We start from the raw sequence: 14,303 nt of genomic DNA on the forward strand, positions 1-14,303 counted from the left end.
GGCCGTGATAGGGCACAGAACTACAACTCTCAGCAGACATTGCGGCCGCAGACGCGCTTTCGTACAACACCCAGAGCGCCCCAGTTAGGTAAGAAAGCGCGCGAGGACCGGACTACGAGTCCCAGAAGGCGTGGCGTCAGCAGCCATGTTGGTAAAGGGCGCCCGGAAAATGTGGGAACGGCTAGAGAGTTGTAGTCCTCCCGAATACTCTGATTGGTCAGGATGCAGTACGAGGGCGGGGTGTGAGCGATTCAGCATATTATCATTGGGTGAATCAGGGGGCGTGGTGGGGAATTTCCCGCAGGGCGGAAGCTCCAGAACTCCCGGCAAAGCCCAGCTACAGGCGGGCGACTGCGGGGGGCCCCTGAGGCGGCGGGGGCCATGGCTGGGGTCGCGTGCTTGGGAAAAGCTGCCGACGCAGATGAATGGTGCGACAGCGGCCTGGGCTCCCTGGGTCCGGACGCAGCGGCCCCCGGAGGACCTGGGTTGGGCGCGGAGTTGGGCCCGGGGCTGTCGTGGGCTCCCCTCGTCTTCGGCTACGTCACTGAGGATGGGGACACGTGAGTGAACCTTAGGCTGCCAAACGGAGCCCTAGGACCCGGCGTCACATTCCTCATTAATCTCTGATCCCTGAGGCTTCCTAACCTCATACTCCTAAATCTGACTTCCGATGCTGAACTTCCTGACCTCTAACCCCCGAGTCCTAACTTTTAACAAAACCAATCTTCTATCTAGCTATGATCCTAACCCAATCATTTCTTACCTTCTTTTCTTGAACTATGATTCTCAGCTCCTGGAATCCACATTGTATCCACTGATACCCAAACCTGACTCCAGTCCTGAGACTTCTGTTAGAACTGTGGCTTCTCCTGACTTCTAACCTCCAAATATGATCTTTGATTCTTAGTTCCCGATTTGAGCCCTAGAGTTTGATTTCCGAAATTAATACTTGGTCCCTGACTCTAAGATCCTGTCTTCTGAGCAGTGTTCTTCAAATCTTAAATTCAAAGAGAGAGAATGTAAGCTCTTCTATGTTGAATTCCTAATTAAAGTAAAAAAATAGGAAAATTAAAAAAAAGAATGTTAGCTCCATGAGACCAAGGATTCATCTGTTAAACAAATATTCTTTACACATTACCACGTTCCAGGCTCCGTTTAGGTGCTAGTGATAAAGGCAGTGAAGAAAACAAACAAAAACTTAAGCCCTTGTGGAGCATACATTTTAGTGGAGCTAAATAAACAGATTGATAAGACCACAAGGAAGGAAAGAAATGGAAAGACAGGAAGAAACAAAGAAAGACACGCAGAAAGAAAGAAACATAGAAAGTAAGAAAAGGAAATAAAGTCAGAGGTAGTTAAGTACTTTGGAGAAAAATAAAGCAGGAAAATGAGGCAATAGATAAACAAGATAAGAGCATTTCAAGGAGAAGGAACTGCAGTTGCAAAGGCCCAGATGAGGGATTGTACTGGGTTTTTTGTCTGTTGTGTTTACTGCTGTATGCCCAGTGATGCAAGCAGGGCCTGATCCAGGAGGCACTGAATATTGATCTCAACCAGCTTTATAGTCTCGTTAATTTTCATTAAATTTCATTAATTAATTTTGGTTTCATTAATTTTTTTTTACTTTCTATTCAATTGGTCTCTGTTCTGACTTTTTTTTTTGAAACGAAGTCTCACTCTGTCGCCCAGGCTGGAGTGCAGTGGCATGATCATGGCTTACTATAGCCACAACCTCCTGGCTCAAGTGATCCTTGCACCTCAGCCTCCTGAGTAGCTGGGACCACAGGCACATGCCACCATGCCTGGCAAATTTTTAAATTTTTTTGTCCCCCTATGTTCTCAAACTCTTTTTTTTTTTTTGAGACAGAGTCTTGTTCTGTCACCCAGGCTGGAGTATAGTGGCACTATCTCTGCTCGCTGAAACCTCTGACTCCTGGGTTTAAGCAGTTCTACTGCCTCAGCCTCCCAAATTTGGGATTACAGGCACGTGCCCCCACACCTGGCTAATTTTTGTATTTTTAGTAGCAACAGCAGTTTCACCATGTTGGCCAGGCTGGTCTCAAACTCCTGACCTCAGGTGATCCACCCGCTGTGGCCTCTCAGAGTGCTGGGATTACAGGTGTGAGCCACTGTGTGCAGCTGTGGTCTCAAACTCTTGAGCTCAAGCATTCTTCCCACCTTGGCCTCCCAAAGTGCTGGGTTACAGGGATGAACCACTGTGCCCAGACAGTCTCTGCCTTTTAATTAGTGTTTAGACCATTTACATTTAATTTGATATTGATATGATTGTGTAAATTTATCCCATGTCTATTATATATATTCTACTTACCTATGTTTTCTTTTTCCTCCCTCCTTTTTGCCTTTTATTGGGTATAGTTTTTGTTACTTTTTTTTCAATCCTGCTCCTTCTGTATAGTGTTTTTCATTTTATTTCTTTTTTTTTTTTTGAGATGGAGTCTCGCTCTGTCACCCAGGCTGGAGTGCAGTGGTGCAATCTCGGCTCACTGCAAGCTCCGCCTCCCAGGTTCATGCCATTCTCCTGCCTCAGCCTCCCGAGTAGCTGGGACTACAGGCACCTGCCACTTCGCCTGGCTAATTTTTTTTGTATTTTTAGTAGAGACGGGGTTTCACCGTGGTCTTGATCTCCTGACCTTGTGATCCGCCCGCCTCGGCTTCCCAAAGTGCTGGGATTACAGGCGTGAGCCACCGCGCCCGGCCTCATTTTATTTCTTTTGTTTGCTTATTAGATATTCCTCTTTTTGTTATGTTAGTGGTTGCTTTAAGGTGGGGGTTGGCAAACTATGGCCTCCAGGCAAAATCTAGCCAGCCATCTGCTTTTGTATGGTTGTGAGCTAAGAATGGTCTTTACATTTTTAAACAGTTTCTAAAAATCAAAAGAATAATAATATTATATGGCTTTTGTATGGTTGTGAGCTAAGAATGGTCTTTACATTTTTAAACAGTTTCTAAAAATCAAAAGAATAATAATATTATATGGCAAGTGAAAGTGTATGAAATTCATATTTCAAGCTCCATAAATAAAGTTCTTTTGGAACGCAAGCAAGCTCACTCATTTACATATTGTCAGTGGCTGCTTTTGCACTGACACAGCAGAGTCGAGTAGTCAAAAGAAACTGTATGGCTGCTGGGCTCAGTGGCTCATGCCTGTAATCCCAGCACTTTGGGAGCCAAGGCGGACAGATCACAAGGTCAGGAGATCGAGACCATCCTGGCTAACATGGTGAAACCTTGTCTCTACTAAAAATACAAAAAGTTAGCTGGCAGTGGTGGCGAGCGCCTGTAATCCCAGCTACTTGAGAGGCAGGAGAATCGCTTGAACCCGGGAGGCGGAGGTTGCAGTGAGCTGAGATCACGCCACTGCACTCCAGCCTGGGCAGCAGAACGAGACTCCATCTCAAAAAAACAAAACAAACAAACAAAAAAAGAAAAAGAAAAACAAAACCAAAAAGAGAAACCATATGACCTACAAAGACTAAAATAGTTATCTGGCTCCTTACAGAAAAAGTTTGCTGACTCCTGCTGTAGGGTTGATAGTTTACAACTTTAGGTTATCATGGGCTACCTTAAAGTGATATTATGCCATTTCACATAGAGTAAAAGAAATTTATTTTATTTTATTATTATTATTTGAGACGGAGTCTCACTCTGTTGCCCAGGCTGGAGTGCAGTGGCACGATCTCAGCTCACTGCAACCTCCATTTCTCAGGTTCAAATGATTGTCCTGCCTCAGCCTCCTGTGTAGGTGGGATTACAGGCGCATGCCACCATGCCTGGCTAAATTTTTTTTGTATTTTTTGTAGAGACAGGGTCTCATCGTGTTGGCCAGGTTGGTCTCAAACTCCTGACCTCAAGTGATCTGCCCGCCTTGGCCTCCCAAAGTGCCAGGATTACAGGTGTGGGCCACCGTGCCCAGCATAATGAACTGTTTTAATATTCTTGTTTGCAAATTCTAACATCTCTGTCATTTCTGGGTCAGTTTCAATTCACTGATGGTTCCTATTATGGATCATGTTTTCCTGCTTCTTTACATGCCTGATAATCTTTGGTTAGGTGCCAGACATTGTGAATTTTGCCTTGTTAGTCTGGAGAATTCTGTATTCCTATAAATATTCTTGAGGCCGGGCGCCGTGGCTCACACCTGTAATCCCAGCACTTTGGGAGGCCAAGGCGGGTGGATCACGAGGTCAGGAGTTCAAGATCAGCCTGGCCAACATGGTGAAACCCTGTCTGTACTAAAAACTGCAAAAATTAGCCAGGTGTGGTGGCACGCACCTGTGGTTCCGGCTACTCGGGAGGCTGAGGCAGAAGAATCGCTTGAACCCAGGAGGTGGAGGTTGCAGTGAGCCACGATCGTGTCACTGCGCTCCAGCCTGGGCGACAGGGCAAGACTCTCTCTCAAAAAATAAAAATTAAAATAAATAAATAAATAAATAAATAAATAAATATTCTTGAATATTATTCTGGGATGGAGTTAAATTACTCGGAAGTAGTTTGAGTCTTTCCAGTTTTGCTTTTATGATTTGTTAGGTGGGTGTTGAGCAGTGCCCCATCTACAGTTAATTATTCCCCACTATTGAGGCAAGACCTTCCTGAGTATCCCACCCGATAGCCTGTGATGATGTTTTTCCAGCCTGGCTGGTGGGAACACTCACTATTCCTGGCCCTGTGTGAGTAACGAGCACTTTTCTGAAATCCTTTTGGATGGTTTTCCCATCCCCACAGACTCACAGGCATGGCTGATCCGTATTCTCCGGAATACACAAGAGAACCTCCTGCAGTTCCCCAGCAATCTCTCCTTTGGCAACTCTGTTTTGTACTCTGTCCTGTGACTCTAGCCACGCTGGCCTCCACAGACTCTTCCTCCATATCCATCTCCTGACCTCAGACAACCTGATGCGCTCTGCTTGGATTCCCCTCTCTGCACCGTGGCTTTGAAACTCTCTCAAGACAATAAGCTGTGGCAGTCAAGTGTGGGGCCCACCTCGTGTTTCCTGTCTTTCAGGGGTCACTGTGATTCATTGCACGATGTCCAGTGTCTTCAACACTGTTGCTTCATATACCGTATTTCGTCTGACTCTTGTTTGTTTGTTTGTTTGTTTCACGTGGGAGTGAATTCTGGTCCATGTTACTTCATTTTGGGCAGAAGTGGAAATCCCACTGAATAAACATTGATTCCACGAATTTGCTGATGAAACTCTGACCTCTGACCTCCCAGATAGCTGACAGGGGGTTCCAGAACTGTGGTCACAAGGCCTAGCATACAGTAGGCGCCCCATGTTTGTTCAATGAAGGAATGCAAGAGGACTTGAACTTTGCCCTCTCACCCCGGTCTTTGTCCCCAGGGCACTGCACTTGGCTGTGATTCATCAGCATGAACCCTTCCTGGATTTTCTTCTAGGCTTCTCGGCCGGCACTGAGTACATGGACCTGCAGAATGACCTAGGCCAGGTGAGCCACGAGGGATGGTGTAGGGCTTGGGGTCCAGGGTTCCCAGTGTGACTCCCTACCGCCTGTCCTCTGCTTCTGCAGACAGCCCTGCACCTGGCAGCCATCCTGGGGGAGACATCCACGGTGGAGAAGCTGTACGCAGCAGGCGCCGGGCTGTGTGTGGCGGAGCGTAGGGGCCACACGGCGCTGCACCTGGCCTGCCGTGTGGGGGCACACGCCTGTGCCCGTGCCCTGCTTCAGCCCCGCCCCCGGCGCCCCAGGGAAGCCCCCGACACCTACCTCGCTCAGGGCCCTGACCGTACTCCCGACACCAACCATACCCCTGTCGCCTTGTACCCCGATTCCGACTTGGAGAAGGAAGAAGAGGAGAGTGAGGAGGACTGGAAGCTGCAGCTGGAGGCTGAAAACTACGAGGGTGAGGGTCGTCACCAGGGAAGGACTCAGCTCCTGGGCTAGGCGAGAGCACCTGGCCCTGGGCTCAGCTTCCCTGATTTGAGACTGAGCTCCTTGGGAAATCATGCCTAGGCTTCAGGAGCCCACACATCGGGACCAGGGACCTCCACTCAGGGCCCAGATGATTGAGAATTGGATATGTAGGACCCAGGACCCCCACCTGGAGGCCCCAGGTCACTTGGGATGCAGACCTGTCACCCACAGACCCAGAGCTGCCAGGATCCAGTTGTCGGGCCCCCGGGCTCCCCACCTGCAGAGTGTATTGCAGACCCCTACCCTACCCAGGACCGGGGAATGCAGAGCTCAGGCCCTCTGTGAAACTCTGGCACCCCAGGCTCCCAGCAATGGGCAGCAGGGTTCAGAGACAGCCCTCCTCAGCCTCATGGGAAGAAGGGCTCATCTGCCCACAGCCCTGACATCCAAGTTTCTGCTCCCCTGCCTATAAGCCCAGCCACCTGAGACCAGACCCCTCCTCAGATGGACTGACGTCATTCAGGACCCAGTGTTCAGGGCCTGCCTCTCGCCCCCAGGTCACAGGCTTTTCAGCTACTTGGTACCTTTTTTTTTTTTTTTTTTTTTTTTGAGACAGTCTCACTCTGTTGCCAGGTTGGAGTTCAGTGGCGTGATCTTGGCTCACTGCAACCTCCACCTCCCAGGTTCAGGTGATTCTCCTGCCTCAGCCTCCCGAGTAGCTGGGATTACAGGGATTACAGGCACATGCTACCATGCCCAGCTTATTTTTGTATTTTTAGTAGAGACGGGGTTTTACCATGTTGACCAGGCTGGTCTTGAACTCCTGGCCTGGCCTTAGGTGATCTGCCCGCCATGGCCTCCCAAAGTGCTGGGATTACAGGTGTGAGCCACCGTGCCTGGGCAGGAACCTTAATTTAAGGTTTTTTTTTTTTTTTTTTTTTGACATGGAGTCTCACTCTGTTGCCCAGGCTGGAGTGCAGTGGCGCCATCTCAGCTCACTGCAAGCTCCGCCTCCTGGGTTCACACCATTCTCCTGCCTCAGCCTCCCGAGTAGCTGGGACTACAGGCGCCCGCCACCATGCCCAGCTAATTTTTTGTATTTTTAGTAGAGATGGGGTTTCACCATGTTAGCCAGGATGGTCTCGATCTCCTGACCTCGTGATCCACCCGCCTCAGCCTCCCAAAGTGCTGGGATTACAGGCGTGAGCCACTGTGCCTGGCCTTTATTTTTTATTTTTAGTAGAGACGTCTTGCCATGTTGCCCAGGCAGCTTCTTGAACTCCTGAGCTCAAGTGATCCTCTTGCTTTGGCCTCCCAAAGTGCTGGGATTACAGGTGTGAAATAGCGTGCCAGCTCAGGTCCTTTGAGTGATAAGAGCAGAGACTTGGGTCTCCTCCTGGCCCCAAAATCCAGGCTCCCTGTCCACAGACCCCAGGCTGTTTACCCGCGGGCCCCAGGCTTCAAACAACTCAGGCACTAGCACTTGCCAGCAAGCTCAGGCCATCTGAGATAGGCATTTGGTACCCAGGTACCTCTTTGCCATACCCAAGAATTCAGGAACCAGCCCCCAAACCTAATCACCCTCACGCCACATGACCCTCCCCCAGGATCAAAGCACGGTGGGGTGGGGGGGGCCCTCACCTCATCATCTGACGCCAATCACTCTGTCCCCAGGCCACACCCCACTCCACGTGGCCGTTATCCACAAAGATGTGGAGATGGTCCGGCTGCTCCGAGATGCTGGAGCTGACCTTGACAAACCGGTGAGCCCCAACCTCGGGGAAGATGCCGTCGGCGGGAGGGGGCTTGTCCCCTCTTCGGGCCCTCTGACCTTTCTGTTGCACCCCCACAGGAGCCCACGTGCGGCCGGAGCCCCCTTCATTTGGCAGTGGAGGCCCAGGCAGCCGATGTGCTGGAGCTTCTCCTGAGGGCAGGCGCGAACCCTGCTGCCCGCATGTACGGTGGCCGCACCCCACTCGGCAGTGCCATGCTCCGGCCCAACCCCATCCTCGCCCGCCTCCTCCGTGCACACGGAGCCCCTGAGCCCGAGGGCGAGGACGAGAAATCCGGCCCCTGCAGCAGCAGTAGCGACAGCGACAGCGGAGACGAGGGCGTGAGTCAGGAGGAGAGACAGGGCAGCCCAGCTGGGGGGTCAGGATAGACCGGCAGGCAAGAAGCCCAAGAAGATAATTAGGCACCGACCTTGGGCTGCTGTTAGAGAACTCAGGCAGCAGCGCCAGTGACACGGGGCACTAGTCAGGAGAGACCTGGACAGGGGTGGTGGGAAGAGCTTGGGCAGAAGTGGCTGAAAAACTAAGGCAGTGGCAAAGGTAGAACTCAGGCAGGGGTGGAGAAAAGGCGTTGGTCGCAGTGATTGGTGAACACAGCGGGGGTGGGTGGTAGCGCTGGGGGTGATTTTAGGCAGCAAGAATTGGAGAACTCACACTGCGAAAAGAAAACCTTGGGTGGCAGTGATTTGAACACCGGCAGTGCTGGGGCAGGACCCGAGCCAGCGGTGGGGAGAGATATAGTCAGAGAACCCAGCAATACAGATCCGTCCTTGGGCAAGGCGCGGTGCTGGATGATGGGTGCGGAGGAATTTGGGTAAAGGCAGAGGGAAGGGGTGGAGGAGGGCCAGCTCAGTTGCCGAAACTCTGGAGTGGCGGCTGGCTAGAAATTGGTCTGTAGAAATGACCTTGAAAATGGAGTTCTGGCCAGGTGCGGTGGCTCACGCCTGTAATCCCAGCACTTTGGGAGGCCGAGGCAGGCAGATCACGAGGTCAGGAGTTCGAGACCAGCCTGGCCAACATGGCAAGACCCTGTCTCTACTAAAAATACAAAAATTAGCTGGGCGTGGTGGCGCATGCCTATAATCCCAGCTACTTGGGAGGCTGAGGTAGGAGAATTGCTTGAACCTGGGAGGTGGAGGTTGCAGTGAACCTAGATCACGCCACTGCATTCCAGCCTGGGCAACAGAGCGAGACTCCATCTTAAAAAAAAAAAAAAAAAAAAGAAAGAAAAGAAAATGGAGTTCTGAGAGCTAGGAAACTGGGAGGTTGAGCCAGGAGCAGGGGAACTTGGGCTTTGAGGCGAGACCTAATTCTTAGGGTGCTCTATGAGGACATGGGTGGTGGGCAAAGTGACAGCCGCCTGAGCCCCTCTGCCTGGTCCCCTTTGCCCCCAGGATGAATACGACGACATTGTGGTTCACAGCAGCCGCAGCCAAACCCGGCTGCCTCCCACCCCAGCCTCAAAACCTCTTCCTGACGACCCCCGCCCCGTGTGATTTGTTTCATTGTTAATATAATTTCCAGTTTAATAAACAAAACCCTAGTTCTGACAACCAGAGACCAGACTGATCTTGTCTTCCCAGTCCTCCGGGTCCTTCTGGGGCCCATCCCTGTCACATCAAGTGCTGCTCACGGAGGCAGGGTGCGTTTCTTTGTGCTTTATTCACTCAGAAGGGTTGGAGTGGGAGTGCATAGGTGTGGGGGTGCTTCCTGTGTCAGGGCTGAGCCCAGCCCCCGGCCCAGCTCAGACTCACCTCCTTGGGTGTGGTTCCAAGGCACGTCCGCCTCCTCCCCTGTTTGGGTAGGGGTGGCGTGGGGTGCTAGGTGAGGTGGAGGCTTCGGGGTCAACAGTCCTAAGCCACAGGGTGTGTCAGGAGGAAGGAGGGACTGAGGTAGGGGTCAGCCCTCCCTCCTGAGCTGCTCCCCCAGCGTCTCTGTCACCTTCTTCAGTTCGTCTCTCAAGTGCTCCAGCTGCTCCACCTCCTTTTCCTGGTGGGGTCAGAAACGGGGTAGTCAGCACCCACCTTCAAAGGCAGGCCACCTCGGTCACTGTGATTGTGGGCCATGTCGGTTCTCATAGTGGCATCCAGCAGCGGTCGTTCTGATCGTCGTGGACCGCGATGGTGACCATGCTGATTGCCATAACCCCGGAAGAGTGGTGCTGGCTAACGCGACCACAGCCAACAGCAGTAGCTTGGCACTGGCAAAGGTGCCTGGGATGAGCACCTCGTGATGGCGCTTTATTTTTATTTTTAAGATGGAGTCTCGCTCTGTCACCCAGGCTGGGGTACAGTGGCACGATCTCGGCTCACTGTAACCTCCACCTCCCGAGTTCAAGTGATTCTCCTGCTTCAGCCTCCCGAGTAGCTGGGATTACAGGCATGCAACACCATGCCTGGCTGATTTTTTGTATTTTTAGTAGAGACAGGGTTTCACCATGTTGGCCAGGCTGGTCTCGAACTCCTGACCTCAGGTAATCCTCCCGCCTCAGCCTCCCAAAGTGCTGGGATTACAGGCACGAACCACCATGCCCAGCCATTTTTTTTTTTTTTTTTTAAGATGGTTTTGCTCTGTGGCCCAGGCGGGACTGCTGTGGCACAATCATGACTCAATGCAGCCTCAAACTCCCGGGTTCAAGCAATCCCACCACCTCAGCCTCCTGAGAGCTGGGACCACAGGCGTGCGCCACCATTGCTGGCTAATTTTTTAAATTATTTGTAGAGTCACGGTTTCACTATGTTGCCCACGCTGGTCTCAAACTCCTGGCCTCAAGGGATTCTCCCACCTTGGCCTCTGAAAGGATTAACCCTCCCTAGGATTACAGGTGTGAGCCACCATGCCCACCCTGTTACGGCACTTTTGGTGCCACCAATCATGGTGACATCTTGTTTTCCATGACCCAGCAATGGTGTCTGTCTGTCACCTAGTGAAGTAGGCACAGCAGCCACTTTTCACAGTGGCCAACTTGCTAGTGATGGTGGCTTGCTTCTGTGCAATGGTGCCATCTTGGTTGCTGTAGTCCATACAGTAGTGTGGAAGTATAAGGTAAAGGCCTTGCACGGAAGTTGTTAGCCAGTCGTGGTGTCAGTCTTGGCCACTGTGATCCACTAGTGATGGATCTGGTGGTGCAGGGCCAACACCGGTGGCTGTGAGTTGTGACTCCACTGACCATCATCAACCCTGCCTCCAAACTGTGTTGGTGTTCCTCCTTCATCCCCCTACTCACCTCCCTCTCCGAAGCCTCCTCCTTCTCCTGCCTGGGCTCAGCCTCTGGCTGGTGGTGGTGGTGGTGGTGGTGGGGCAAGTCCTCGCGCCTCTCTCCTCCGCCTCTCTCGGCCCCCTGCCACAGGCTGCGGTCCCCGCCCAGCACCCGCACCCCCTTCTCCTCTGCCTGGAACTGGGCCGTCTCTTTGTCACTGGCCTTCTCTGCCACCCGCTTCTGGAGGTCCCCTCCATTCTCTAGATGCCGCTGCCACAGGTCCTCAAAGGTCTCCATGGGCCCCCTCTTCCTCTCCTCCTTCTCCTCCTCCTCGTCCTCCTCCTGGTGGAGCTGGCGATGCCCTTGCATGCGGATGGCTTGTTCCTGGACCTCAGACTTGTGGGTCCTCTCTGCTACCTCCTCCTCTTCCTCATCCCTCACCTCCTGGCTGGACCTCATCTTCCCAGCCTCCTGCTTCTTGAAATCCCCAAGCAGCAGGCCTTTCTCCTCGGTGGACGCACAGCCGTGGGGCTCTGTCCCGCACAACTCTGGCAGAAAGGGAAAGGACACTCTCTAAGCATCCAATTGGGAAACTGAGGCCGAGTATGGAGGCTCACGCCTGTAATCTCAGCACTTTGGGAGGCCGTGGCGGCCGATCACCTGAGGTCAGGAGTTTGAATTGGGAAACTGAGGCCTTGAGGAGTTCTGGGCCCTGCCGAAGGTCTCACAGGGGGGCTGCCCAGACTACAGGGGGAGGGTCCTATTTCATCCCACCTGGGAGGGGATGTTCCCTGCCCCATCTGGCCCCTCTGCAGGGAACCACAAGGGTGTTGCTGGTGGCCAGGCTCTGTCAGGTGTGAATGCTGGGCAGTGCCCCGCTGGTCCAGGCAACAGGGCTCTGGGAATGAGGACCTCTTCCTCCAGGTAGCCTGGGTGGGAGAGCATGTGGGCACCTGGGCAGGACCCTGGGTGGGGTAGGGTAGGGTCCCATGGGGTTGTGGAGGGCAAGTGGGGCCCGGGGCCTCCTTACCCTTGTGGAGAAGAGCAGTGCAGGGTCCTCTCTGGACCTGGCCCACGGTCAGCACCTCTGTGACCACCTCTGCCAGACAGCGGGTCAGCTGGGGGGCAGGGGTGCCGGGTCAGAGGGGAGGTTGAGGGCAGGGGAGATGGGGAGGAGAGCAGCTGGTTTGAGGGCAATGAGGATCATGGGGCAGGCTGTGCAGGGAGGGCAGGGCCCCAGCTAGGTGAGGCAGGGCAAGGCCTCCACACTCCTCACCTCCTCCTTGGAGGGTCTCGGTGCCAAGGGAGCAGCGGTGGCTGTGGAGAAAGGAGATGGCACTGGGCTTTGCCGCCCTGGCTGCTGTCCCCGGTACCGACCCCAGCTCCATGGGCGTCCCGGTCCCCACACATCCCCTCCCCATCCCACCCGGCGGGTGTACTGTCCCCCGCTGGAGGCTCGGCCCCTGAAGCCTCTCCACTGGGTGCACTGCCTGCCCCCTCCCACTGGAGTCCCCGCTCCCCGGCCCCTGGCAGGTCCCGCACTCGGCAGGTCCCGCACTCACCCGCCCCCAGCAGGAGCAGCCGCAGCAGCAGCAGCTCAGAGGCTGGCCCTCGGGGCGGCATGGTGGGCGTCCAACGGGTCCAAGGCGCTGTGCGGGCCAGGGTTGCAGCGCCTTATAACCCACGCGGGGACCCTGCAGGGGAGGAAATGATGTCACCCCCGCCCCCTCCCCGCCCGCGGCGGGGCGACATCTGCGGGGCGGCTGCCTGCCTGAGACCCTCAATTATTCATGAGGCCTCCGCCCTGCACGCGCTCCCCTCGAGGCTTCAGGCCAGGAGCTCAGCGCAGATGGTGGAGGCCTCCCTTTTTTCGTTTTTTTGAGACACGGTCTGGCTCTGTCACCCAGGCTGGAGTGCAGTGGCGCCATCACAGCTCACTGCAGGCTCCTGAACACACTTGATCCTCCCACCTCAGCCTCCCGAGTAGCTGGGACCACAGGCGTGTACCACCATATCTGGCTAATAATGTTTATTTTTTGTAGAGGCAGGGTCTCACTTTGTTGGCCAGGTTGGTCTCAGACTCCTGGGCTCAAGTGATCCTCTCGTCTGGGCCTCCCAAAGTGCTGGGATTACAGGCCTGAGGTGCCACACCTGGCCTGGGGGGATCTCTTCCCAGAGCAGCAGGGTCTGGTACACTCGCCCTCCACGCTGGCAGGTGGACCGGGGTGGGAACCCAGAAGCAGCCACTCACAGATGGTCCCCAGGCAACTCCTTCCCTTCCTGGGCCTGTTTTCTCACAGGGTCTTGTTACAGGCTGGAGTGCAGTGCCTCAAACTCTCACACAAGGGATCCTCCTGCCTCAGCCTCCAGATCAGTTGGGACTGCAGGCTTGCATTATCATGCCACAGTAATTTTTTTCATTTTTTGTAGAGAGGGGTTCTTGCTATGTTGCCTAGACTGGTCTGAAACTCCTGACCTCAAATGATCCGCCCACTTGGGCCTCCTGAAGTGCTGGGACTACAGGCGTGGGTGAGCCACTATGCTTGGCTGAGAGTGGGTCTCATAAACCCGCTTCCTCAGAGGCTGCAGTTGGCTTCTGGCCTAAGCCCCAGCTCCACCACGTGCCAGCTGTGCAGCCCAGGATAACCGCTTAACTTCTCTAAGACCTGTTTCCTCACTGTAAATAGGGTTGGTGACAACCTACTCTACAGTTGGACAGTGAGGATTAAATAGTTGTGTGTACAGTGTTTAGGGAAGTGCCTGGTACTGGGAACGGCACACGTCCAAGCATCTTCAGTGCAGTAATTTTTGTTGAGCATCTACTACATGCCAGGTCCTCTTTTAGACCTGAGGCTACAGCCCTGAGCCAATGGGTGGATACCTCTGCCCTCCTGGAGCTGGTATTTGACACACATCAATACATATTAAGGAAAGAAGGCAGAAATGCATCAAAAATATAGTATCTCAGGCTGGGCGTGGTGGCTCATGCCTGTAATCCCAGCACTTTGGGAGGCCAAGGCAGGTGCATTACCTGAGGTCAGGAGTTCAAGACCAGCCTGGTCAACATGGCGAAACCCTGCCTCTACTAAAAATACAAAAAATTAGCCGGACATGGTGGCACCTCCCTGTAATCCCAGCTATGCGGGAGGCTGAGGCAAAAGAATCTCTCAGAGGTTGCAGTGAGCCGAGATCACACCACTGCACTCCAGCCTGGGACAGTGAGACTCCATCTCAAAAAAAAAAAAAAAAAAAAAAAAAAGTATCTCAGATGTAGGTACTGAGTGCTGGGGGGGTTTTACTGTGGTCACGGAAGACTTCTTGGAAGAGGTGACATTTGAGCTAAGGCCTGAGTGACAAGATGGAGGCCAGCACACACCATCTAGGGGAGAGACAGCCAGAGAGGGAGACTCACCAATGTA

At 53.4% G+C, this 14,303-nt stretch overlaps 2 protein-coding genes across 11 annotated transcripts, besides 2 other annotated features; one reads left to right on the top strand and one right to left on the bottom strand.

Annotated features, from left to right (window-relative positions):
* NFKBIB (NFKB inhibitor beta) lies at positions 15-9,238 on the top strand. 8 transcript variants are annotated; one of them, NM_001243116.2, is made up of 6 exons: positions 15-88; positions 5,364-5,469; positions 5,551-5,884; positions 7,570-7,658; positions 7,748-8,008; positions 9,080-9,238. In NM_001243116.2, the coding sequence occupies exons 2-6, from the start codon at positions 5,443-5,445 to the stop codon at positions 9,179-9,181; spliced, it is 813 nt and encodes a 270-aa protein (NP_001230045.1). In that variant the 5' UTR covers positions 15-88; positions 5,364-5,442; the 3' UTR covers positions 9,182-9,238. The 8 variants fall into 8 exon arrangements, 6 of the variants coding, with proteins under 6 accessions (NP_001230045.1, XP_006723290.4, NP_002494.2 ...); XM_006723227.4 differs by having other exon boundaries at positions 5,420-5,469; NM_002503.5 differs by lacking the exon at positions 15-88 and adding an exon at positions 318-560.
* On the bottom strand, positions 9,329-12,535 carry CCER2 (coiled-coil glutamate rich protein 2). 3 transcript variants are annotated; one of them, XM_011527219.4, is made up of 6 exons: positions 12,447-12,535; positions 12,161-12,201; positions 11,915-12,002; positions 10,912-11,432; positions 9,627-9,674; positions 9,329-9,538 (listed from the first exon to the last, which is right to left on the bottom strand). In XM_011527219.4, exons 1-6 carry the CDS (start codon positions 12,505-12,507, stop codon positions 9,530-9,532), a joined length of 768 nt encoding a protein of 255 aa, XP_011525521.1. In that variant the 5' UTR covers positions 12,508-12,535; the 3' UTR covers positions 9,329-9,529. The 3 variants fall into 3 exon arrangements, with proteins under 3 accessions (XP_011525521.1, NP_001230141.1, XP_011525519.1); NM_001243212.2 differs by having other exon boundaries at positions 9,329-9,674; XM_011527217.3 differs by lacking the exons at positions 9,329-9,538; positions 9,627-9,674 and having other exon boundaries at positions 10,466-11,432.
* Positions 12,135-12,761: an enhancer, noted in NCBI's record as "H3K4me1 hESC enhancer chr19:39402426-39403052 (GRCh37/hg19 assembly coordinates)". NCBI's record gives its function as "activates a minimal SCP1, AML or CMV promoter by ChIP-STARR-seq in naive H9 embryonic stem cells {active_cell/tissue: H9 hESC(naive)}" and the evidence as "EXISTENCE:reporter gene assay evidence [ECO:0000049][PMID:30033119]".
* Positions 12,762-13,386: an enhancer, noted in NCBI's record as "H3K4me1 hESC enhancer chr19:39403053-39403677 (GRCh37/hg19 assembly coordinates)". NCBI's record gives its function as "activates a minimal SCP1, AML or CMV promoter by ChIP-STARR-seq in naive H9 embryonic stem cells {active_cell/tissue: H9 hESC(naive)}" and the evidence as "EXISTENCE:reporter gene assay evidence [ECO:0000049][PMID:30033119]".

This window comes from Homo sapiens, chromosome 19 (assembly GCF_000001405.40).
Source record: "Homo sapiens chromosome 19, GRCh38.p14 Primary Assembly".
Taxonomy (NCBI): domain Eukaryota; kingdom Metazoa; phylum Chordata; class Mammalia; order Primates; family Hominidae; genus Homo; species Homo sapiens.

Excerpts from the sequence above, each read along its gene's own strand:
- NFKBIB (NM_002503.5), top strand. The coding sequence starts at position 382 with ATGGCTGGGGTCGCGTGCTTGGGAAAAGCTGCCGACGCAGATGAATGG. Across the intron at positions 5,470-5,550 it reads TGCAGAATGACCTAGGCCAG|ACAGCCCTGCACCTGGCAGC; the intron begins GTGAGCCACGAG and ends CTGCTTCTGCAG. Across the intron at positions 8,009-9,079 it reads GCGACAGCGGAGACGAGGGC|GATGAATACGACGACATTGT; the intron begins GTGAGTCAGGAG and ends CTTTGCCCCCAG.
- CCER2 (XM_011527217.3), bottom strand. The coding sequence starts at position 12,507 with ATGCCGCCCCGAGGGCCAGCCTCTGAGCTGCTGCTGCTGCGGCTGCTC. Across the intron at positions 12,202-12,446 it reads GCTGCTCCTGCTGGGGGCGG|CCACCGCTGCTCCCTTGGCA; the intron begins GTGAGTGCGGGA and ends CTTTCTCCACAG. Across the intron at positions 11,433-11,914 it reads CACTGCTCTTCTCCACAAGG|AGTTGTGCGGGACAGAGCCC; the intron begins GTAAGGAGGCCC and ends CCTTTCTGCCAG.